General features: G+C 53.5%; 1 protein-coding gene across 4 annotated transcripts in view, besides 1 other annotated feature; it reads left to right on the plus strand.

Moving 5' to 3' along the window:
- Positions 9,742 to 9,841: a silencer, noted in NCBI's record as "silent region_3187". NCBI's record gives its function as "represses an Ori minimal core promoter by ATAC-STARR-seq in GM12878 lymphoblastoid cells {active_cell/tissue: GM12878}" and the evidence as "EXISTENCE:reporter gene assay evidence [ECO:0000049][PMID:35858748]".
- KCNC1 (potassium voltage-gated channel subfamily C member 1) overlaps positions 9,902 to 24,616 on the plus strand; it is a 48,277-nt gene continuing 33,562 nt past the window's right edge. For 3 of the 4 annotated variants that reach the window (XR_930866.3, NM_001112741.2, XM_047426916.1), the window contains exon 1: positions 9,902 to 11,693. Coding sequence is in view for 3 of the 4 variants with exons in the window: in NM_001112741.2 (NP_001106212.1) it covers positions 11,124 to 11,693 (570 nt within the window). In the remaining variant the exon portion in view is untranslated. The remainder of the gene's footprint in view (positions 11,694 to 24,616) is intronic. The other variant, NM_004976.4, reaches the window with a different exon arrangement.

Consider the following 24,616-nt stretch of genomic DNA (forward strand, 5'->3'; position numbering starts at 1 on the left):
CTCTCCTAGTCCATATTGGTTTTCTCCAGAAACTCATGGGTTACCATGGATCTTACCATTAAACCCAGTTAGAAAATTCCCAGCCTTGGCATGGTGGCTCATGCCTGTAATCCCAGCACTTTGGGAGGCTGAGGCAGGCAGATCACAAGGTCAGGAGTTCGAGACCAGCCTGGCCAACATGATAAAACCCCGTCTCTGCTAAAAATACAAAAACTAGCTGGGTGTGGTGGTGCACGCCTATAATCCCAGCTACTCAGGAGGCTGAGGCAGGAGAATTGCTTGAACCCAGGAGGCAGAGGCTGCAGTGAGCTGAGATCATGCCATTGCACTCCAGCTCTGGGCAGTAGAGCAAGACTCCATCTTTGTCGGGGCAGTGGGGAGAAAATTCCCAGGGAAGAAGTCTAGTTAGATCAGCATAGGTCATGAGCCAGGATCTGAACCCAGGCAGAGGGCTCCAGAGACTGCACTCTTGGCTGCCTTGCTCTGTGTCTTCTGCAGAGGATGTCAGAAGAGAGGAAGTGAGAAAAGTCAAGAGGGAAGGGAACAGCTGGAGACTGGATCACACCATCGAGGATAGGGTTTGAGGTCCCCTCCTAGCCTGTCCCTTACCTCAGTCCCCTCAAGGGGGGACAACTGGCTGAGCCTGACTTCACTTGCAGTGTAGATGGAACATCCTTTGCTCATGGGGCCATTTTACCTGCATTGGATCTGAGGAAGCACCAGGGCCATGCTCTCCACAGAGACATATGTATATGTCTTTACACATATGTGCTCATACAAAAGCACATGTGTACCCAGAGCACACCATCAGAGGCTGATAGACTGTGAAGACAATAAAGTTTAAGCTTCAGTTCCCCTCTCTCGTATGAGCCCCTTCTAAGGTCCTGGGGGAAACCCTAGAAATATGTCTATATGGTCTAGCTACTTTTTTAATTTGCCAAAGTAAATCACTTTTAACAATTGGTTATGACCATTGTCTCTTTCTGTTCTGACCCTTGTATTGGGTAGCACTCATGGGGATGTTTGGATCAGTCCTATCTAAAGGTATAAATTTCATTTGGGTTTAGTGGAATATATTTTAAATAAATGAAATATAAAACATAAGCAATAATGATGAACAATGATATAAATTTAAATGATTCTGACATTGAGAAGATAATTAGAACCACAAAATTTATCTAGATCATGCCAAAAAGTGGTTTATTAAAAGAAGAAGAAAATTTTCTAATAGATTTATGGAAAAGACTCTTGCATGGTTTAATAATCCCACCAGTGAATAATGGCAAATTACATGAACACATTGGGAAAAGATTTAAATTTTTTGCTGATCTGTTACAAACTACTGGCATCCACAAAGATAGCATAAAATTCATAATATGCCACTATAACAAGACCTCAACATCATCAACACAATTATTAAAGAAACTTGTCAATTAAAAAATATTTAAAATTAGTCACCACACAAGAAAACTCAAAATGCCTTGAGTTTTTACAGCCCACAGATGAAAGAAACTTGATTGAGGTTTCCTCAAATTTGACATCAATTCTAAAAATGTACATGACATTTCCAATAGACTTGTGAGCCTGAAATTTCCTTAAATTATCAATGGTACAAAACAAGTTTTGATCAACCATGTTGAAGGAAAGACTGAATAATCTCTCTATTCTCTGTATAGAAAATGATATTATAAAACCATTGTCACATGAAGAAGCAATCAAAGAATGTGCAGCCGGATGCGGGTGGAAAGAGGTAGGCAAGACTGAAAAAGACAAGAAAAAGGAGCAAGAGGTGGAAGGTAGATAGAATGAGGAGACGAGGAGGAAGATAAAGGCAAAGATGATGATGTGATAATGATGAAAAAACAAGTTGGTCCTACCTTCGTTTTTTTTTTTCTCTCATAAGGCATTTGAAACACTCGCACTGCACACAAGTCACTCCTATTTAAAAACATTCGATGAGAGGCTGTGCAATATTTGTTTTTATATTGCACAGGGTCATTTTTGTGTAGTTGGTAACTTATTTTTTTCAGAGAACACGTGACAGTGGGTTTTAATTCATGTAGAACTTTCCCAGTAGCAGGGGGAAGTGAGTCCTATGGTATGCCAATGGCTACATAATTCCCTGGGATCTAGGCCTGGCTGTGTCATTGACCAGCTCTAAGATCTTGGGAATGGGACTTAACCCACCTGGACTTTGGCATTTACTCTGTGGAATAAATTAGTAAATTTAAAAAGTATGTCTCAGTTTTGAAATTATTTCATAATTTGCTTAAAGCATTTCAAAGAAAGAAGAGATTATGAAGCAGATCTCTTACAGATAAGGAAACCGGGACCACAACAAACTGAGAAGCTTATTCTCAGCACAGGCAACTCAATTATAGACTCCTGGTTAACTGGTCCTTCTTTCTTTTACTTTTCCCAATTTTTAAATTAAGATATAACTCACAACCATAAAATTCACCTTTTTAAAATGCATAGTTCAGTGGTTTGTACTATATGCACAAGGCTATGCAACCATCACGACTGTCTAATCTCAAAACATGTTCATCACCCCCAAAAGAAACCCATAGGCATTAGCTGTCACTCTTCACTATCCCCTTCCTCCTGCTTGCCCCTGGCAACCACTAACCTACTTTCTGACTCTATGGATTTGCGTATTTGGGAAATTTCATATGAAAGGAATCATGTATAAAATTCATAATATGCCACTGTAACTAGACCTCAACAATTAACACCAACATCATGTTTTCAAGCTTCATCTATCTTTTTTTTTTTTTTTTTTGAGACAGTCTCCCTCTGTCACCCAGGCTGGAGTACAGTGGCGTGATCTCAGCTCACTGCAACCTTTACCTCCTGGGTTCAAGCAATTCTTCTGCCTCAGCCTCCCAAGTAACTGGGATTACAGGCACCCACCACCACGCTCGCCTAATTTTTGTATTTTTAGTAGAGATGGGGTTTCACTATGTTGGCCAGGCTGGTCTTGAACTCCTGACCTCAGGTGATCCCCCCACCTCGGCCTCCGAAAGTGCTGGGATTACAGGTGTGAGCCACCGCACCCAGCCAGTTCATCTATCTTACAGCGTGTAGCATACTTCATTCCTTTTTATGCTGAATAATAGTGTATTATACGGATATATCACACTTTTTTAATTCATTCATCTGTTGGTCACGTGGGTTATTTCTACTTCTTAGCTATTAGGAATAATGCTGCTGTGAACATTCAAGTACAAGTGTCTGTGTAAATGTGTGCTTTCAATTTTCTTGGGTATGTATCTAAAAGCAGAATTGCTAGCTATATCACAGCTCTATGTTTAAAGTTTTGAGGAACTGTCAAACTTTTCCCCAAAGCAGCTGCACCATTTTATATTCCCATCAGCAACATATAGGGGTTCCAATGTCTCCACATCCTTGACAACATTCTGTTGTTTGTCTTTTTTGTTAGAAGTAGCCTAGTGGGTGTGAAGTGGGTTTTGAGTTGCATTTCTCTAATCACATGTTGAGCATGTTTTCATGTGCGTATTGAGTATTTGTATGTTTTCTTTGGAGAAATGTCCATTCAAATTCTTTGCCCATTTTAAAATTAGGTTGTCTTTTTGTTGTTGAGTGGTATGGTTTGGCTCTGTGTCCCCACCCAGATCTCACCTAGAATTGTAATCCCCATAATCCCCATGTGTCAAGGGCAGGACCAGGTGGAGGCAGTTGGATCACTGGGAGTGGTTTCCCCCATGCTCTTCTCATGATAGTGAGTTCTCAATGAGATCTGATGGTTTTATAAGTGTCTGATGTTTCCCCTGCTTCCATTCACTACATCCTGCCACCCTGTGAAGAAGGTGCCTGCTTCTCCTTTGCCTTCTGCCATGATTGTAAGTTTCCTGAGGCCTCCTCAGCAATGTGGAACAGTGAGTCAATTAAACCTCTTTCCTTTATAAATTACCCAGTCTTGGGTATTTCTTCATAGCAGTGTGAGAATGGACTAATACATTGAGTTATGAGAGTTCTTTATCTAATCTAGATATCAGACTCTTATCAGATATAGGATTTGCAATTATATCTCCCATTCTGCGAATTCTTTTCACTTCCTTTGAAGCACAAATGTCTATTTTATTTTGATGAGATCCAAGATCCAAGTTATCTACCTGTTCCTTTTTTTTTTTTTTTTTTTTGCTTATGGTTTTGACATCACATCTAAGAAACGATTACTTACTTCAAGTTCTTCTAAGAGTTATATGACTTTGGCCCTAACATTTAGGAATTTGGTCCATTTAAAATTTTTAATATGGTGTAAGTATGGGATCCAAATTCATTCTTTTGCGTATGAATATATAGTTGTTTCAGCATCATTTATTGAAATGACGATTCTTTCTCCATTGAATTGTCTTGGCACTCTTGTCAAAAATTAATTGACCATAAATATATGAGTTTATTTCTGTACTCTCAATTCTATTCCATTGATCTATCTATCTATCCTTATGCCAATACCACACAGTCTTGATTATTGTAGTGTGGTAGTTAGTTTTGAAATTGGGAAGCGTGAGTCCTCCAGCTTTACTCTCCTTCTTCAATACTGTTGTGAGTTTTCTGGGTCCCTTGCATTTCATAATGTATCTTTAAGTAGTCCTGTCCAGGAGGTGTTTTCAGTAGCTACTAACTGTGCCTGGTACTACCCGGGACCTATAAATTGGCATAGAAATGTAAAGCAGGGTCTTGTTAGTACACAGAAAAAAATAGTTATATTGGAGGGAAGGTGATGATTTTTTAATTTCCAGTCATCTTCGATGTAGCTTATGTAAAATAAATGTATTAACTAAATATTATTCTGTAATTGCAAAAAAAGTTGCATCTGTTTTTGTTGGCATACTGAATGCTTCCAAATAAATGTAACTTATTTTAAATCATTATATAGGTGTGCCGTGCAGTTAATAAAAATATGAAGCTTTTTTCTGTATTTTTAAATATTTGTAGTATATGTCAGCTTCTTAAAATTTATATTTGGTCTTGAGTCCTTTTCTAAGTCTAAATAAATATTCACTTTTGTATCCAACTTTGTATTCTTTTTTGCTTTCTTTTTTTAAAAGAGTGACCCCCAAAACTTCCAGGCTTCAGGCCCTACACACCCTGGACCCACCTCTGCATACTGACCATGCTCACCTGCAGGCTGACACATCCACAGGTGTACATACAAGAGAACTTGCCAGGCTCTCCCTATCAGAGGAGCCGCAGAGGGAAGACCTTTAGGGTAGCCACGAGTCTCCAGCTGCTTCTGGGAGGAGAACTCAGTGTCCTCTGCACAGTCCTGCTGTGAACATGCTTGCAGGAGGGCCTGTACCCACCCAGCCTCCTTACATATATGCACACCTGACCATGTTCACCACAGCCATCATCTCATCTCACACTTCCGCACCTCCCTCCCACAGCCTGCAGGGAGAGGCATCCAGGCCCAGGGAGGGCTAATGCTCTGTCCCCAGGGCCACACTGACACCCTAAGGGACATTGCTGAAGGATGGTAGGAGTCCATGAGGGGGAGGGGGTGTAAGGGCTGGTCACAGAGGGATGAGAAGTGGGCTAGGGAGCCCGAGGGAAGGGAGAAAAGGGAAGAAGAGGAAATGAGGTACCATGTCATTTAATCCTTACCAGACATTGGTCCCTTTATGGATAATGAGGAAATAGAAGCCTAGAGAGGGAATGGGACTAGTTGACGCAGCTAGTGAATAGCAAAAATGGGATTTGTAACCAAGTCTGTCTACATCAGTGGTTCTCTCAACCGGAAGAAATTTTACCTCCCAGGGTACATTTGGCAGTGTCTGTAGACCTTTTTGGTGATCACTGCTAGGGAAGAGGCTTCTACCGACACCTAGTGGACAGAGGCCTGCTAAATATCCTGCAATGCACAGTACAGCACCCGGCCCCAACCCTGGCAAAGGATTACATCTGAGCCAAGATGTCAACAGTGCAGAAGTTGAGAAACCCTGGTCTAGACACCTTCCAAGAGTATTCTTCACCTTGGCCCCTTTCTGGACTTCCCATGGCCTAAGCCATGTTGGTGCCCCTGCCCCAGAGTTTCCAAGAAGGAACAGCTAGCTGTATACCTCGCTGCAGCTCAGCCCAGGTTACCAGGGTCACTGCTCAACCTACAGATCTGTGGCCAAGGTCGCCAATTTCCCACTACGGCATCTCTGGATTCAATCTTCCCTGACCATTGGAGGCAGGCGGTATGGTCTAGGGAGGGGATGTCTGCCACCCCCACGGCTTACCATCAGAGCAGGGTTACTATCCTCAAAGCCTTCTCGGTCAATACCCAGCTTAGGTTAGTTCCCAGCCATGGCCACAAGATGGCACCCCAGCCCACCAGGAGGGCTGAGGCTCTGGGCCTGGGAGAGCAGCATGGAGGATGTGCCAACCTGGACAAAAGCCTAGGGGCTGGACTTGGGCCAGTTCCAGAGCTTAGCAGGACCAGATCTAAGGCCTGCAAGTGCCAGGTGGGAAAACATAGGCCAAACTTGGCTTCAGAACTCCCTTCACCTTTTTTTTAGTCCACTCCCAACACCAGCTTATATTCTAGCCTTTCCTACATGAAGCTTACTGAAGCCCAGCAATCCCTCCTTGGGCCTAAACAAGAGAAATTCTAGAACTTAGATGTTAAGGATACAGGAGTTATTATTATTATTTCAATACAACAGTAAAAGCAAAAAACGAGGCACAGAGAAGTTGAGTAACTTGCCCAAGGTCACAGCTAGTCAGTACTGGAGCTGGGATTTGAATCCAGGCAGTCTGGTTTTAAAGTCTGTGCTCTTAGCCACTGAACATACCACACCACAACTGCTCCCACCCCCACCAGCCCCAGCTACCAAAGACCCTCTGGCACCAGACCACAAGCTTTCTTCTGCAAGGGAGGGGCAAATGGCTGCGAATAGGAGGTGCTGCTCCAAAGTGGAAAAGGAGTGAGGTTTTCAGTCTAGCTGGGGGTCTGTCGTTAGTGTTTGCGAGTGAGAAGCTAGGGAATGGTTAGTCATTCTTCCTCCTATTTCCCCCCAAAACCCTCTGTTTCTCTGTTTTCTGGTTTTTGGTTTTTGTTGATTTCTTCTGTGTTGCCCTCTTGGTTTTCCTAGGCTGTTTGCAAATGCTAGCATTCTCGCAGTGTGAAGGGGAAGTGAGAGAAGAAAGTTTGATGTCCTGTTCAGGATCCACAAGGGAGGCCATTCTTTGGGGCCTGGGCTGGGGGTGTGTCATCAGGGATCAAAGTGAGAATCCTAAAGTGGAACAGTGTGGGGCACATTGGGAACAGCTACCCTCTCCTGCTGGGGAGGCTCCTGTGTCTGAGTTTTCTCTGCTTACCTCTTGGGGGATTTTAGGGTGTAATGGGCTTTAGGGTGCAATGAATACCCTTTCACATTCCTTCTGCCTCCAACCCTGGCCTACCTCCCTCTTTCTAACACATCGTCCAGAGCCCCTAATCACCCAACCTTCTGCCTACCAGGAGCCCCTTGTTTCTCTCTGTCTCTCTGTGCCCCCTCCCCAACTGCCTGGGTCACACTGCAGCCCCCTATTAGGACTCGCCATGGCGTAGTGATGGGGCCCTGCACTGATTCCCTAAAAAACCCTGGGTAAGTCCCTCCTCCTGACTTGGTCTCCATTAGGTGTTCCAGACTCCCACAGTCTCTGCCACTTGGGTTCTAGGATCCCAGCCTCTCTCCTAGCCTTTCTCAAATCATCTGGACCTTAGTGAGGATCTACTGTATTCTGGGCACTCTGGAGGGAAGCAAACAAGAAGCCCTGGAGGAGCTGATGGTCCTTTTATGGAGATCAGATGAGCTATGGAGAAGATCAGGAGCCATACTCTGATCCCGTGTGGTTCTGCAGGTGAAGAGAGAGGTGAAGTCCTGGAACCCTATGGCTAGTAGAATCCCAGAAGATTCTTGGGTGAGAAGAGGGGCTGGACATCTGGGTAGAAAGAAAGGAAGGTTTGGAGAGGCTGCTTTCTTGTCTCTCCCCATCTTGATTTCTCCCAGCTGTGTGTGTGTGTGTGTGTGTGTGTGTGTGTGTGTGTGTGTGTGTGTGTATGTGTCTGCCTCTGTGTCCACCTTTTTCTCTTCCTTCTGGATTCTCCATTTCTATTTCATCTTCTACCAATGTTGGGACAGAATTTCCTGAGAACCCATGTCCCGGGGATCTGAATATGGGCCAGGATGGGCCACACCAGGCCGGGCCACACCAGGCCAGGCTTCCTTGTGGTTAGGAGATGGGGACTCACACTGGTCAGGGTGAAAGGGACACTCAAAATCACTCTCATCCCTGCATTACTCTGAGATTGAAGGGGAAACAGCTCCTATTTAGAGGAATCACACAGATCAATATCTGGAGGGAGGAGGTGCCATGCAGGCCCCAAAATCCAACCCTCTCTTTGTCTCTGCCCAACTCTGCCCATTTCTGACTTAATTTAGCCTCTCTGTCTCTCCCCTTGTCCTATTCCCATCTGTCAATCCTTGCCCTGCCCCTCTCCACCCCTTCAAGCCTTTTACCCACCACACACAGATTTTCCTGTGGCTAGATTGGGATTCCCCTGGCCAAGTAAGGAGAGCGATGTCTGTGGCACAGCTTTGTCCCCAGGCTCACAACGGCATCTGTGGGTCAGGGTAGAGGGACAGCTGTCTGCACAGTTAGAAAGTGCCAGCAGTAATAAAAGCCTCATATCTTCTTAATTAAATCGCCCTTTGCCCAGGCATCCTGTGTTCGATTGGGTTGAGCTGGGATCAATAAGCCTCTTTCCCACCCCAGCCACCCCTGGAGACGGGCCTGACCTCCCCAGTCCTGCCTAGGCCCACCTGGCCACCTCCCCAGAAGGCTGGGAGCTTCTCAAGGCCAGAGGCTGGGTCAGATTCATCTCTTGTGTCCTTGTGCCTGGGACGGATCCTGAAACAAGTAAGGAGTAAAGGAGTGATTGCTTTACTGAGTAAACCAAGGCACTAGCAGCAGGCATGGGCCAGGAAGGCTTTGAGGTTCAAACTGGAACTCCCACCCCCAGGACCAACTGTGAAGATGGAGGAATCACAGCAAGCAGCAGCTCCCACCCAGCTCCCAGACATAACACCAGCTTATCACCCAGGGCAGTTGAAGCCCTAGGAAGTGCGGGGTGGGGGTGTCAGTGCTCAGGGAAACTACGAGCAGTTGCTGCTTCTGACCTCTGAGGGCAGAAGGTCCTTTTCATAAGGGGTCTCCACCTAGGGATCCAGGGTTAGTGTGGGAGAGTCCGTGAGCTTGGATGGATGTGGCACTCATGGGAGACTCCCTCTGTCTGAAGCTATAAAGGGCCCAGGGTCAGTAAGGAGTCCAAAGGGGTTAATAGGGGTCCAGGATTGATTGTTAGTGGAGGGCGTAGAGGATAACGTGGTGTGTGTGTGTGTGTGTGTGTGTTGGGGTTCATGCAAGACATTACCCATGGAAGGAACATGGGGCCTCCAGGTTCCGCGAGAAGGGTCGGTATTAAAGGATTCCTTGGAGCGGTCAGCACTGGTCCGGGCCAGGGTGTCTCTGATGACAAAACTCCGGGAGAGCTTTGTCTCACCAGGGATCAGATGGTCCCTGGTTTGGAAGGCAAGGGGAGGGTGCCAACGCCCTTCTCACCTCAGTCTGACCCGGGGGCGCGGGCCCAGACGTCTCTCGGAGCCCCCGCCCCTGGAGTGGCGTTCCCCGAGGGCGGACCGTGGGCGGGTCCCCCGGGAGCAGCAGGAGCCGCGCGGGGCGGGCGCCCCCAGCGCCGAGGTTGAGGGAGGCCGGGCTCGGTGCGGGGCTGGGAGGGGGGCGCGGAATCAGGGCTTTTTAGGACCCAGCGCGGCGCCTTCCTCCGGGGGCGAGTGCGGCTGCGCGCGCCGTGTGCCCGTGTCCGGAGAGCGGCGGGCTGGACGCGGACCGCGCGAACGAGCAGGCGACGGGCGAGCAGCAAGCGGAGCAGCAGCCCGGGCGGCAGCAGCGTCGCGGCGGCGGCGGCAGCGGCCGCTCCGCGCCTCGCCTCACCGGCCTCGCTGGCCTCACCTCGCCGCGCCCGGACCCGCCACCCCCGCCTCCCCGCCCGACCTCCGCAGCCCCCGTCTCGGCCGGCAGCGCCCACCGCCTGCCCGAAGCGAGGAGCGGAGTGCGGGGCGCAGAGGCACCGGAGCCAGTGCCCGCCGGCCCCGCAAATCAAACCCAGCCAGGAGAACCCCCGCCTGGCCCCGTGCAGCTCCGCGACCGCCGGGAGCTGTCCCTTCAGCACCGCCGCGGGAGCCCAAGTCCGAGCGCAGCCCAGCGGAACCCCAGCTCGAGCCCGGGCTCACGGAGAGCAGCGCTCGGCGTTAGCCGCACGAGCAACACCCCGGGTGCCCCTGCCCAGGGGGCCCGCCATCTCCTCCAGGAGGCGGGGAGAAGGAACGAGGAGGGCGGGCGGGCAGGCGGGCCCGCCGCCGGGGGGAGCAGGCAGCCAAGCAAGGAGAGAGGGAGGGGGCCGGAGCCCGCCCTGCGTCCCGAGCTGCAGCCCGGCCACGCAGGGAGGAAGGCAGGCGGCATCCATCTCCCCCGCGCCGAGAGCGCGCCGCGGCGACCACCTCACAGAGGAGCGCGAATTTCCCGGCCCTGTCTCCTCCCCTCCCCCTCCTGGGGGCTGGCCTCTAGTCCGGCCCCGGGAGCGGCTGACCTTTCCCCCAAAAGCTTTGTGCCGATTTCTCCATTTTCCCGCGGAGATGGGGACGGGAGCCCGGCCCCCCAACCCATTTTCCCCACCTCCCGGGGCTCGCTGCTGAGCCCGCCCCCCTCCCTCTTTCCCCCTCACTCCCTCCCTCCCTCCCTTTCTCCCTCCCTTTCTCCCTCCCTTCTTTCCTCCTCTGCCTCCTCCGCTGCCGGACCAGCTCCCTCCCACATCTGGCTCCTAGAGACCCCTGGGATCCCGCGCACATTCCCCTGGACCGGCACCCGACAAAGCGCCCGGAGAGGCTTGGCTCGCTCGTTGGGGTGGCCAGAGCCGCAGGCCTCTGTTCCCCCCGACGGCTGGGGGGAGGGGGGAAGAGGGCGCGCGCCCCCCTCCCCGGCGCCAACTCCCCCTGGCGGCCGCTCCCATGGGTGTCGCTGGGCCGCGCCATGCCTAAGGGGGCGCCGCGATGGGCCAAGGGGACGAGAGCGAGCGCATCGTGATCAACGTGGGCGGCACGCGCCACCAGACGTACCGCTCGACCCTGCGCACGCTGCCCGGCACGCGGCTCGCCTGGCTGGCGGAGCCCGACGCCCACAGCCACTTCGACTATGACCCGCGTGCTGACGAGTTCTTCTTCGACCGCCACCCCGGCGTCTTCGCGCACATCCTGAACTACTACCGCACGGGCAAGCTGCACTGCCCAGCCGACGTGTGCGGGCCGCTCTACGAGGAGGAGCTGGCCTTCTGGGGCATCGACGAGACCGACGTGGAGCCCTGCTGCTGGATGACGTACCGCCAGCACCGCGACGCCGAGGAGGCTCTGGACAGCTTCGGCGGCGCTCCTCTGGACAACAGCGCCGACGACGCGGACGCCGACGGCCCTGGCGACTCGGGCGACGGCGAGGACGAGCTGGAGATGACCAAGCGCCTGGCGCTCAGTGACTCCCCGGATGGCCGGCCTGGCGGCTTTTGGCGCCGCTGGCAGCCGCGCATCTGGGCGCTCTTCGAGGACCCGTACTCGTCCCGCTACGCGCGGGTAAGTGACAATTTACCCATCAGAAGAGCGGGGCGGGAAGGCAGCGTCCTGTGCCTCCCCGCGGGCAGGGGTGGACCGGAGAACTGGCGCCTAGGGAGTTCAGAATCGAAAGGGGGTGTGTGCGCATGTGTGCACGTACCAGGGTAAGAGAGGAAGGGTGTCCGCCGGGGTTCTGGTTTTCTATGTATGTCAGTCTGTGTGTTGCCAAGTTTAATATGTATGAGTATGAATGGGTGTGTTTGTGTGTATGAGTAGATTGTGTGTGCATATTTATGTAAGTGTGGTGGTGTGTATTTGGGTGGGTAAAGTGTGGAGTGGGAATGAGTGAGCATGTGTGTATGTTCGAGTGTGCATGAGCGCCTGCCCGTGAACATTTGTGTCTTTGCAGAGGTGCACTGTCAAAGTATGGACTGCTCTCGAGATTTCAGTGTGGGGAGGGAAGCTGGGAGCCCTTCCTCCTGTCCAGGTAAAGGCGCATCTGGAGCCAGCCATGGTCCCCCAAAAAGGCCTGAGGCCTGCTGGGCAGCTTGAGACAGACACCCCCTCCTCAGGGAGCAGCCTCCGGCAATTTTGAGGAAGTGGTCAAGAGGGCATCTCCATGGCTAATCTCGGTGGCTTGGAAGTTGGTGGAGGGCTGGGCTGTAAGGTAGGGGTGGTCCGTCTGAGCCCCCGATCCTGAGATCACAGCCTGTCCTTCCTCCTTGTCGAAAGCGGAGGGTGTTGGAGTGGGTCACTGGGCTTATGCCAGTGCTTCCTCTGGGACATCCCGTGGTGGGGAGAGGGGGTCGGTCCTTAAGGGTCCTTAAGGGGGAACCTGCAAGGAGAAGGTGTGTGAGAGGTGGGCGTGTCTTCATGGGCCACTCCCCTATAGCCATACCAGCTTGTTCCTAGGAAGAAAGGACACGCTGCTGCTGACCTTGGTCCCTCAGATGGCCTCTCTGGATCAGTTTCCTTATCTGTAAAATGGGGGAGGGGGCCTGGTGAACTCTTAAGGGCCTTGCTGCTGGAACATCAGTGACTGAGCCCAAAAAGAGGAACTGGTAGCAGCCACCCACCCTGGAAGAGACACTCCCAGCCTTCACTGGGCTCTGTCCTTAGAGGCCTAAAGAGAGACCCTAAGGCCTGTGGGGGAAGGGCAGAGTAGAGAATTTAAAGCAGAGCCCCTCCTGCATCCCTGAGCTGCCCTCACCCCCTACCAGGCAAAGCACTGCCTCTGCCCTGCTGTCTTTTACTCCGCATCTCTCCCCTCCTGCGCACTGGAGCCTGAGCCAGAGCCAGGGGTAGAGGGCTAGGGAGGGGTAGGAAGTTGCAGAGGAGAGTGGAGGGAGGAGACTTGGGGGGACCTCAAGTGCCCATGGGCAAAGAAAGTCTGTGTTTAGGCACAGACCTTGTAGATCTGTTAACTGAGATCAAAAACAGTATGGTATGTCGGGGCGGGCGGGGGGCAGGTAGCCGGTCAGTCTTATACCTTGAATTCTAGAACAACTGTGTTTATGGGGGGAGGCAATAGGGAGAGAGCCAGGCCCATGTTTTGCCACTGAGGACCCTCCCCAAGGTCACCCAGGGAGCTAGAGGCCAAGAAAGACTAGAACTCAATTCTCCTGGGACCCTATCCTCCCCTGGGCTGCCTACCAGCTCCTGCCTTTCCCCAGAGTGGACTGGGACCCTCAGAGGGCTTCCCTCCCCTTCCCTTTCCTGACAGAGGCCACCACAGCTAGAGGGTTATGTAACTGGAGGCTGTGGCTGAGCTGTGGGGAGGGGCTGGAGGAGGGGGATGGGAGGTTGAACTAGTGCATGTTGGGGTGGGGGTGGGCAGAGGCCTGGGTTACAGCAGCTGCCCATTCAGCCCACACTTGACCTTGGGCAGCATCTCCCCCACCAACTTTGGCCCCAGAAGCAAGGGGTAGGCTCAGTCTCCTGACTCCCAAGCAAGAGGCTGAGTCCCCCAGCCCCACCCTTTGCACTCAGTGTTGGGGCTCTGATCAGTGTCCTGAGTTTCAGGGCAGGCAGGGGGCAGTGGGGCATGTTCCAACCCCCTCCCCTGGCCCTCTCCTCCCACTGGACATTCCTAGGCTGCGGGTGGCCTTCACCCAAGGCAGACAAATGGGCCAGCTAGTGTGGTTTGAGGTTCTATTGGTGTGCAAAACCGTACAGAAAAGTCTTGAAAAAAATCTCTGAAGTGAATGCTCACTGAAGAGCGGACTCTGAGGGAAAAGCTGGGCGCCCGGTGGTCGGGGTGAGGCGGTACTGGGATAGGAGCGGGTGCTAGTGGGTGCTCCCCTTCAGCCTGTCTGAGCCACCTTCTCTCCCCAGTGGCCTCAAAGGAAGGTTGTTGTCCCTTCCAGCTCCCTCGGGGAACAGTTGAGGACACTGAGGCCCGTAGGAGGAGGGACCTGCCCAAGGGCACTCGGGAGCTGAGGAGGGCAGAGCGGGATTAGAACCCCAGCTTCCTGCCGCCCGCCCGGCTGGCCTAGCTGCACTGCGCTGCCTCTCTGCGGCTCATCTGCGCACAGACCAGCCGCCTGCCCGCCCTCCTCCCCCTCTGTCTTTGCTCTGCCGCCTCTGCTGTCACCTTTGTTTACCCCTCCCCCACACGGGGCCCCGAGACTCCTCACACCAGCGGGTCGGGACTTAAGTCGTTATTCTAGATCTAGGCCAGCATGTTGTGTGTGATCTTGCATATGTGTGTGAAGGAAAGGCTGTATGTGTGAGACAGAGGCTCTTTGTAAGAGAGATTGTGTGTGAGTGTGAGAGACTTGTGTGTGTGAGAATAAATGTGAGACTCCAGGCGTGTGTGTGTGTGTGTGTGTGTGTGTGTGTGTGTGTGGTGAGACTGCGACTCTGTGCGAGCTTCCTGAGTCCTTGTGTCAGGGGTTGTGTGTGTGAGAGAGGCGGATTCTGTGTTTTGGATGGACTGTGCGTGTGTGAGAATGAGACTGTGTGGGAGAGAGTGTGTATAAGGAAGAGAGACTGCATGTGTAAGAGAGATGCTGTGTGTGAGGTTTGGAGAGTGCGTGAGAGTCGAGGTGAGTGTGTCTGCGTGAGTGTGTGGCTGTGTGTGGCAAGTGTGAAACTGTATATGTGGAGCTCATGTGTGAGTCTGTGTGTGTGTGTGTGTGTGTGTGTGTGTACATGCGTGTACACATAAGGCAGGAGGCTGTGTGGGGTGGGGGTCCCTGTGTGTGACAGACTGTATGTGAAGGTGTGTGTAAGACAGAGATTGTGTGTGAAATCCTGTGTGTGACAGTGTACGTGATGTGTGTGAGAACCCACGTGTGTGTCAGTGTGCTGTGTGTATGTGAGAGAGAGGTCCTGTGCATCCCGAGTGTGTGTGTGCTTGAGGAAGATGAGATTCCAGAGCTGCTTCCTGCCCACTGCCTCAGTCTCTGGGACTCCGGAGTGGCCTAACTGAGGGCATTTCCTTTCCTCAGTAGAGATGCTTTTCTGCCCAGGCCACTGTCAGTGTGTGGGACGGGTGGTGAGGTCACCTTTCCCTGAGGAGCTGCCACCTACCCTGGGCCTTGGTGCTGGCCCTGGAGATAGGGGCTACATAGTCGGGGCGGGAGGGCCCATCTGAGTTCCTGAGGGGCAAGAGTGCCGGCTGCTGGCTGGGGCAGCTGCTCCCCTGGCCCCCTTTCCTGTGCTCTGGGCATCAGCCTGAGGGGATGAGCTGGGACAGGATGAGCTCCACGTGTGTTCTGGGTTGGGGGGTGGTGCCCCTGACACACACAAGACAATGATGATGGTGGTACTGTTTGGAGAGGCTATGAAGGGATTTCCTGGGGCCATGAGAATAAGAACTGCCCCAGAGGAGGTGATGCTGGGGCAACCTTTGAGGGGCAGGGAGGAGTTAACCAGGTGGAGAGGGCAGGGGGGTCATAGAGGTGTGAGAGCAGGCAGGGGAGTGTTGGGGCTGCCTGGCTTGAAACCTGCCCTCCTGTCTTCCTTGGGGGCCAGCTCAGGTCTGAGGCTCTTGGCTTTAGTCTCTGATTTGCATGTCATCATCAGGGACGTTGTTGCGTCCCATCAGGGCCAATGGTGGTCCTTGTGCTGCAGGCCAGAGTGTCCTGTGTGTGTGTGTTTGTGTGTGTGTGTTAACATCTGTTCCTGAGTCACTTGACCTTCCAAATGCCAAAGTAGTGCCAATGGCCCCCAAGCTGGGGAAGCCCCACCTCCATCCACCCAGCTGCCTGCCTCTCCTCTGACCCTTGTCCTGTGTCTGTCTCTCTGCCCTGTCACTGCCTCTTTGGAACTCGATAAAAACTGGCCTCCCCTCAGCTCCCAGGGAAGGAAATTTACCTGGTGGCGGGAAATAAAGCGCCCAGCCAGAGGCTTCTGTTCCTCCCTTGGGTCCCAGCCGACACAGGGCTCTTGGAGTCGTGGCTTGGCATGCGGAGGGCTGGGGGACAGAGCTATTATCAGGGGATTCTAGGCAGTGCACCCCCTTGCCTCGGAGCCCACTCCCCCAGGCCAGGGCCCCACTTGGAGTCATGGTACCATATGAAGGAGACCCATGAACAGTGGAGAAGGGGCTGGGTATGTTCACCTCCCAGCCACCCCAAGGGCCTTCCACCACAGTGTGCCCCCCTGCTTCCCATGATCCTTGTATGGGGTCCTCAGGTCTTTGAATGGTTCCTCCAGCTCCCCCCACCCCCCTCCCAGTAATGAAAATCATAAACCAAGCGCCTCCTGGTCAGAGCCCTGCAGCCCCTTCACCGCTAAATGGGAATAAAGTTAGAACCGTCCTCACGAGGTTGGTGTGAAGATAACTGAGGTAATGCTTGGACAGCCCCGAACCACAGGGCCTGGCATACAGTAAATGCTCAATAAATGTTGGCTACTATTATTACTACTGTTGGTTGTATTATCATTTCCCCTCCTGTAGACTCTCTCGTCTCCCTCCACCTCCATGTTCACCATCCTGGCTCAAGCCACCATGGTTCCCCTCAGGCTCACCTCCCCGGCAGCCCCCCAGCTGCTCTCCCACCTCCAGCCCCTGGCTGCTCCAGTTTATCCTCCACCTGGCAACCACAGAGGTCTTTTCAACTCACGGGCCTGTCAGATCGCCCGAGCCTGCTTAGAACCCTTCAGTGCTTCGCCAGCCCGTGGCCCATACTGTGGCCTCTCAGGCCCTGCCTGTCCCTCCAGTTTCCTCTGACCTGACTGTCTCCATCGCTTACCAAACCCCAACCACCCAGCCTCGTTTCAGCTTCTTGCACCTGCCAGGTTCCCCTGCCTCAGGGCCTTTGCACATACCCTGCCTTCTGGAGCGCTCTTTCCTCTGGCTCACCCCTCTTTATCCCCGACACCCCACCTCAAACAGCAGCTCCTCAGTGATGCCTTCCCGGGCCCCTAGGCTGGGTTGGAGTCAGAACCAGGGCCCTTCCTGGGAGAGAAGCTCTCTGATTTCTAATAAAATGTTCATTAGCAGCCTTGTTTGATTTGGGCTCATCTCTCCTCTAGACTGTAAGCCTCTGGCATGCTCTATAGAATAGGAGCTGTTATCATGACAGATGAGGAAGTTGAGGCCCAGAGAGGAGTGCTCTACCTGAGGCCCCTCGTGAGCGGGTTAGCTGAGGGCTGGCTGGGAAACTCGTATCTCCTGACTCCTGGCTCACAGGTGCTTTGTGTCACATCGCCTCAGAGCATTTGGAGTCTGTGCTCCTTGACTCTGAGCAGGAGGCCTGGCCTCTGCCAGAAGCTTTGGAGGGGATTGGCTGAAGTCTATCAAGGAGGGAGGTGGTGGTTGTCTCAGAGGTGGGGGAGGGGGTTCAGTGGGGGCTCATTCCAGGGTCCACTGCCTGGGCTGAGGATCTCAAGGCCTCCACGACAGCTGAATATAATGCCTCTGGCTATTCTGAGCGGTCTCATGACCAGGGGATTCACTCTAGACCAAAAGGTCAGGGCCTTGAGCCACTGCCTCCCATCAGCTCTGGGGCCAGCCTGGCTACCACCCCAGCGTGAGCTCCCCTCTGCTAGGTGCAAGGTTAGAGGAAAAGGAGGGCCTGACAGGCTGCAGGGGTGCTTTGCTCTTCAGTCCTTATTCAGGGGAACCATTTAGGTGGTAGGGACCACTTCACATATGCATGGGACTATTGCAGGGAATGGGTGCTCCCAGGCTACCTCTAGTCAATATTTTCATTCAGTGAAAATAAACAGGCTCAGAGAGGGAAAGACACTTGCTCAAGACAACACAGGGAATCAGTGAGACTCAAACTCACAGCCTAGGCCTCTGGTCCCAGGGCCTGACCATCTGAATTTCTTTTGGCTCTCAGTTTTACAAGAACACCAAACCCCACCTGGGCGTGCTGTTCTTCTCTTATCTACTCCCATTAATTTCCTTCCTGGGGGAAGTGGAATACACAGATACCTGCATTCCAAGGACACGGCACAGCTGATTGAGACCTTCTCACGTCAGCCAACCCAGACTTGACCCAAATCCTTAGGATTCCCCAAGCAGGATTTTCCAGAACCCCCTTCCTTTCTTGAATCACGCAGTGTCAGACACTGTCTTAAGGACTTGATTTATATATCCTCATTTATTAATAATTCTCACAAGGCTCTCAAGGCTGCACTATACTATCACGCCAATGACACAGACAAGGCTGCAGAGGCTCAATGAAGTTAAGTAACTTACCCAAGGTCACTTAGCTCATGCGCGGTGGAGCCAGCAGTCAGACCTCAGTCTGTCTGACGCTGGAGCTCTATCTGTAACTATTACACAGCACTGCCTCCTGTCCATGTTCCAGGGATGGTGAGGCCTGTGGCTTGCTGTGCCCCAGGTTTGAATTTCCGTCTGGGTCTCTCCCTCCCCACCATCCACTCTTTCCCAACAACCTGTCCAGAACCTGTCAGCAAGTTCTGGCCCCTGGGTAATGGCAGGTGAGGGCCCTGCCTGGCCAGGCCATGGGCTAAGAGGGCGCTCTGTCAGTCCCAAGGAAGGTTTTGTGACAGTGCCTCAATTGTCCCCCCACTCCCATCCATGCAGCCCCTGGGACTCCATATGGCCTAAAGTGAAATGCCAGGAGGATTGGGAGGATCAGAAGCTGCTTGTGCAGGGCGGCACATGGTGGGAACGCTGGCCGCCCCTCAGCTCGGCACTCCAAGGCCTTCTGCCCTGGAACCCAGCCACAGCTCCTGCGGCTCCCTTCCGCCAGCCTCCTCCCTGGTCCTCATTGGCAGCCCTTTAACCTCTGGGGTTTTGGTCATCTATTCCCCTCACTTCAGTGTCCTCCCTGCTTTTTGCTGAACGTGAAAATCCATCCCTTAAGGTTCCTCACACTTAGCCTGGCTGCTCCTGCCCTCGCTGACGTCATGTTTTTGGGAGTGAGGGGTATGCACTGGGCACTGAGTCATCCAGTTTGTGAGATGTGAGCTGGTGATGAGTAGGTCAGTTCTGGAGGCTGGGGGCTGGGGACAGGCGGGCCCTCAGGATTAGAGACCAGCCCCGGTGTGTGGAGAGATGAGGCCACAGGCAAGACCCAGGTTGTAGGCATCAGACACCTGGATTAGAGAGGAATCTAGCCAGGCTGTGAAACCAGCTGGGCTACCTTGAGCAAGTCCTGTGGCCCCTTCATCCTGCAGTTTTTCCACCTGTAAAATACAGAGGTCGTGCTAACTGACGGCTAAGGCTCTTCCCAACTCTGACATTCTGGGAGTCCAAGAATTCTAGGCTTCAGCTTCCCAGAGGAGCTGGGGAAACCAAGCCAGTCCTCCCCTATTTCTCCTTCTCTCTCCCAGCCCAGCTCCTCCCCAGGGCACGTGTGAGCAATCCTGGCAAAGGTCCTGGCCCAGAGCAGGCAGGAGCCCAGCAGGAAGGGGTCTAAAAAGCTTCCTCCTACATTCATTCAGCCTGCCTCATCCTGTCCTCACTCATTCATTCAAGGCATAGTGATCGCACCCCTGCCTGACGGGCTCCCCCAGCCCTCTGGCAGGCACAGACCTGGGGGGATCACCTCTTTTGGGGGTGCTTGCTCAGGCCTATGGACAGCACCCATTGCCCGCTTCTCCAGGCCCTTCTCTTCGCTTCCTGCCCTTAGGGAGCTGCAGAAAGGCCCACTTGGAGCTCCTGTGTGCCAGGCTGTGGGGTCTGGAGCAGGGGCAGTGGGGCCAACTTCTATGGTGTAGGGCTGCTGTGGGGAAGGGCGCAGGGGATGGGTGCTGTGCTGGAAGGGCCAGGGCTGGGTAGGGGTGTTTGCGATGGCTGCTATGGGGGATGGAGGGGTGGCTGCTGGAGGACTCCCACCCATGCCTGACCCTCAGAATTACCTGGGATGCTTAAAGTTCATACTCCTGGGAAACTCGATTCTTAGATCAGGGAGGGGGAGAATGTTCCCTTCACCCCTCAGCACAGCTGAGGCCACTGCTGAGTGAGGGTACATCGCTGCATTGGGGCCTGAGAGGTGTGGGCTCCTTCCATTCAAGGTGTGGCCCTCTGACCAACAGCAACACCATGAGGACATTTGTTAGACGTGAAGCCTTTCAGGCCTCACCCCAGCCCTGAAACCGATTCAGAATCTGCATTTTCACTCCCCAGATGATTCATGCACGGTGGAGTCTGAGAAGTGCTGATGCAGGCAGCGGCTCCAGTCGAGGGCCAGCCTCAGGACACAGAGGGCTGGATGGGCGTGTGTGGGTTGGCAGAGTGTCACAAGCAAGCCGCTCCTTCCTGAGGCTGAGGCTTCGATGGCAGGGGGACTGGGCCTGGGGTGAGGCCCCATCACAGCCATGGCAACCGCATCCATCTGGTGGCTCCCACTGGTAGACCTTGGGAGTCATCCTGGACTCCTCTCTCTCTCAGACATCAACCAACCCTGTTGTCTTCATGTTTCAAGTACACTCGGAATCTGAGTGCATCGCACCCCTCCACAGCTACCCCCCCGTGGAAGCCCCTGCCCTCTCTTGCCTGAGTTCTTCTCTCAGCCCCAGCTGCCCCGCCCTTCTCTCAGGGCAGCCAGGGCCGGCCTGGCAAAGTGCTATCGGACCAAGTCAGCCCTCCGCTCCATCTCACGCTGGGGTCTGGGCTTCCTCAGAGGATGCAGGCTCCACTTGAGTGCCCCACACCCAGCATCTCCCTCTGCTGTCTGCTTCTCTCTCCCTCCCTCCCCCAGCCTCCATGGCTTTCCTCCCCAGCGCTGCCCATGCTTCTGCCTCAAGACCTGCGCTGCGCTGGTCCCTCCACCTGGCATGCTTTTCCCTTGGGTATCAGCTCTCACACCCCCTCCAGGTCTATACTCAGACATCATCAGCCCAGATGACACTTCTCCGGCCCCTTCCCCACTTCGTGCTTTGCTCTTTTCTCCTTGGCATTAACCACCATCTGATGTACTATATAGTTTACTTGTTTGCCTTGTTTATTGTCTGTTTCCCCACTAGACTGTACAGTCCATGAGGGCAGGGATTTTTGTCTCTTTTTCCAATTGCTCTGTCTCTAGAAGCTAGAGTAGGGCCTGGTACATAGTGGGTGCTAAATAGATATTTACTGAAAGAAAGAATAAGCAAGTAGGGTTCAAGGCCGAGGGCAGACATGGGCACCGTGCATTTGAACCTGTTCCTAGCTGAGCCTTCCTTTCTGGCCTCACGTGGGAGCACAATCCCTCCATCCCCTGAGCCTGGAGCAGCGAATAACAGGCAAAGGCTGGGGCAGCGCTAGTAGGGGGTCCAAACCCCAATCCAGGCAGGGGCCCACCTGCTGGTGTCACCACCCAGGCCCAGATGAAGCTCTTCACAGCTTAACCCTCTGTCTTTTCGAACTTCTTCTCTGCGCTGCATCAGCCCACCCACCATCCACAACCACAGCTTTGAGGCCACGAAACTGTTTTCCAAAACCAAGATGCACAAGTTCCTACGTCCCACTTGGTCCAGCCCGACCCCCGAGTCTGACTTCTCCTGGACTCCGTTCCTCCCAAAGGCCAGCCAGGCTCTTTTCCTACCTCTCCTTCCCCATCTCCTTCCATGTCCACCTCCTTCCCTTCCCTGTCCCCTCCTTGTCCCCTTTCCTCTGTAGCTGTGCTTGTGGAAAGTTCTAGGCATTAGTCACTGGCTTTCAAAATGGACTTCTCTCCTCCAAAGTCTAGGATGGTTTCTGTCCCAAATCCCCTGCTTTGGGCCTCCTTCTGCATTCAGTAGAAAGTGTATGGGCTTTGCATCTCCCCACTCCCCACTGCTTCCTGGCTACACGATTTTGGGAATATGACCTGGAGCCCCTTTCTCTGCAAGAGCATAGCCCCTTGAACCATCAGGCCTTCGATCGAATCCCAGCCCCACTACCTTCCAGCTGTGTGACCTTGGATAAGTCTCCTAACCTGTCTGTGCCTCAAAAGAGGGGTATTGATAGCACCTGATTCATAGGGAAGTTGGGAGGATCCAATGTGTTAAGCACTTAGCCCAGAACCCAGAACATAGTAAGTGCTTAATTGTTGTGCATTCCATCATCTTTTTACCAGCTCTCGGCCCTGCGAGATTCAAATCGTCACCCGTTACCCACCTGTTTCCTTCTTTTAGCTCCTGACTCTACTATCAGATGCTTCTCCTAGGTGGCAGCTCACCTACCGTGGTCCCTGGGGTCCCTTCCTCCAGTCTGTCTACCAGGGGCAGACTTCAGAGGCGTCACCCTGGGAGGCAGGCATGGATTCTTGCTTGGTTCTCCTGAGCTCCCTGTGTGTCCTGGGCAGGTCACAACCCCTGTGAGCCTCGGTCTCCCCATCTGTGGTTATGGGCCGCTTGTCCCTGCTCTTCCTCCATCCCCAGGTGTGGCAGGGTATAAAGGGGAGGATGATGGAACGTCCGCCTGCCAGGGGAGAGGGAGGGAGGGCCGCTGACATCAGGCCTTGGTTGGGAGCCAAGCACAGGGACCTCAGATGCCGACAAGTGTGCCAGTGTGGTAGGGCTGGCGGGCGGAGGCCATGCATCACAGCTCAGGTCATTGGAATGTCTCCTCTTTAAAGGGGCTGCTCTGGCACAGGGAGGAGCCTGGGGGCTAGGGCTGGGGGCTCCTGTTGGGTGCCCATGGGCGGTGCCCACTCTGAAGCTGGGCTGCTCCGCCAGGCCGACGCCAGCCTGGGTGGGGACGAGCTAATATTAGCTGGGGCGGCCCCAGCCAGCTGAGCTCAGGGGGGCTCAGGAACCAGCCTCGCTGGGTCAGGCTCAGATGCTGCCTCAGTGTGAGCCATGGCAGCAAAATGAAGCTTTCTCTCAAGCCTCTGCAGGGCGTCGGATGCCCCTTCCACCCTGGCCAGCCCCAGCCCTTCCCTGTTGGCCTGGCAGCCTGGCTCTGGCACCCCTGCCCACAATGCCACTCACCTCACCTCTTCCTTCCCCAGTGCAACACAGAAAGCTCACAACTCCTCTCCCCACACTCCCGCTTTGCACATAAACACAGTCCATGAGCCATTTCCCTGCCAGGGGCTGCTGTCAGCACCAATTCATCCATCCAGCCAACAAATATTTATTGAGCATCTACTATGTGACAGGTGCTGCTCAAGAAGCTGAGAATAGGGCAAAGAACAAAACCACCAAAAATCCCTGCCCTCAAGTTCTTATATTCTAGCTGGGCAAGATATGACAGAGGCAGGAGCCCAGGGCGCACTGGAGTGGGCAGTTTTAACTCGTGCGGCAGGGAAGCGTCACTGTGAGCGCAGGTCATATTTCAGCAAAGATTGAAGGAGGTGAGGAAGGAGGCCACAGGACACCTGGGCAGCAGAGGAAGTGAGATGTGCAAAAGCCCTGAGCAGCTGTGTGCCCAGGGTTCAAGGCGCAGCGAGGAGGCATATCTGGGGCTGGGCTCGGAGTCAAAGGACAGTGGTATATCAGAAGGGGTGGTGCTCCTTCCACACAGACAGAAAGATGGAGGAATGTACTCTGGGGACTCCAAAGAAGGGAGGCTAGGAGGGGGATGACAGTTGAAAAATTACCTACTGGGTGCAATGTCCAATATTTGAGAGATGGGCACGCTAGGGGCCCCCATACCCACCATTATGCATGTAATGCCCATTTAACAAACAAGCACATGTACCCCTTAAATCTAAAATAAAATAATTTTTAAAAGAAAGAAAAATCCACCCCTAAATCATGCAAAGAAAGAGTCGAGCTACCCAGAACCCCACTGGCTCCTGACAGTGGGGTCTGCTCTTGACGGGGCCTGCCCCATGGGTTCCCTGAGTGTTCCAGCCCAGGGCTCAGTTCTCATTGCCCTCTGCTCCCCTCCTGCAGCCACAGGGGCCTGCACAGGGTGGGCCTGCGTGGAGGGGGCTCCTGCTTCTGCATGGAGGGCCGTAATGAGGGGCCTCTGGCCTCTTCCTGAAGGTCTGTGGTGCCCAGCAGGAGATGGTGGGTCCCATACACGGTTCTCTGAGCTGGGTGTGGGGCTGGAGAGAAGTTGGTGAGGGAGACAGAGGGTCGGGGGCCTTGCCGGGGAGAGATCATGTGAGCTCTTTCCAGTCACACAGGCCTCCGTGGTGCTCACAGGGTTCTCACTGCAGGTGTGCCGGGAGAAGATGGCTAGTGGCATGGGCACAGGCCACACTGGAGCCAGACTGCCAGGGCCCAATTCTGGGTCTGCTAGTTCTTAGCTGTGTGATCTTAGTAAGTCTCAGTCACCTCAGCTGTCAAGAGGGGATAACGAGAGTCCCTACTTCAAAGGGCTGCTGTGAGAAGGCAATAAGTCACAGAAGGCCCTCTGGCTCACTGCACTGCGAGCACTGGTGCGCACGTGATGCCCACGATCACTCACACCTCTTGCAGATAAGGCATCTTTGTGGGATGCTCTGCAGACACTCGCCTCACCCCACCTGAGAGGAGAATATGAATCTAATACCTGACAAGCGGGCTACCATACCTGGGGAGGCTTCGATGGGGACCCAGCCTTGCCAGGTGGCTCCCTGGGGACCTTCTCTGCCCACATAGGTGGTGGGGCAGAAGAACAT

Source organism: Homo sapiens, chromosome 11 (assembly GCF_000001405.40).
Source record: "Homo sapiens chromosome 11, GRCh38.p14 Primary Assembly".
Classification (NCBI taxonomy): Eukaryota; Metazoa; Chordata; class Mammalia; order Primates; family Hominidae; genus Homo; species Homo sapiens.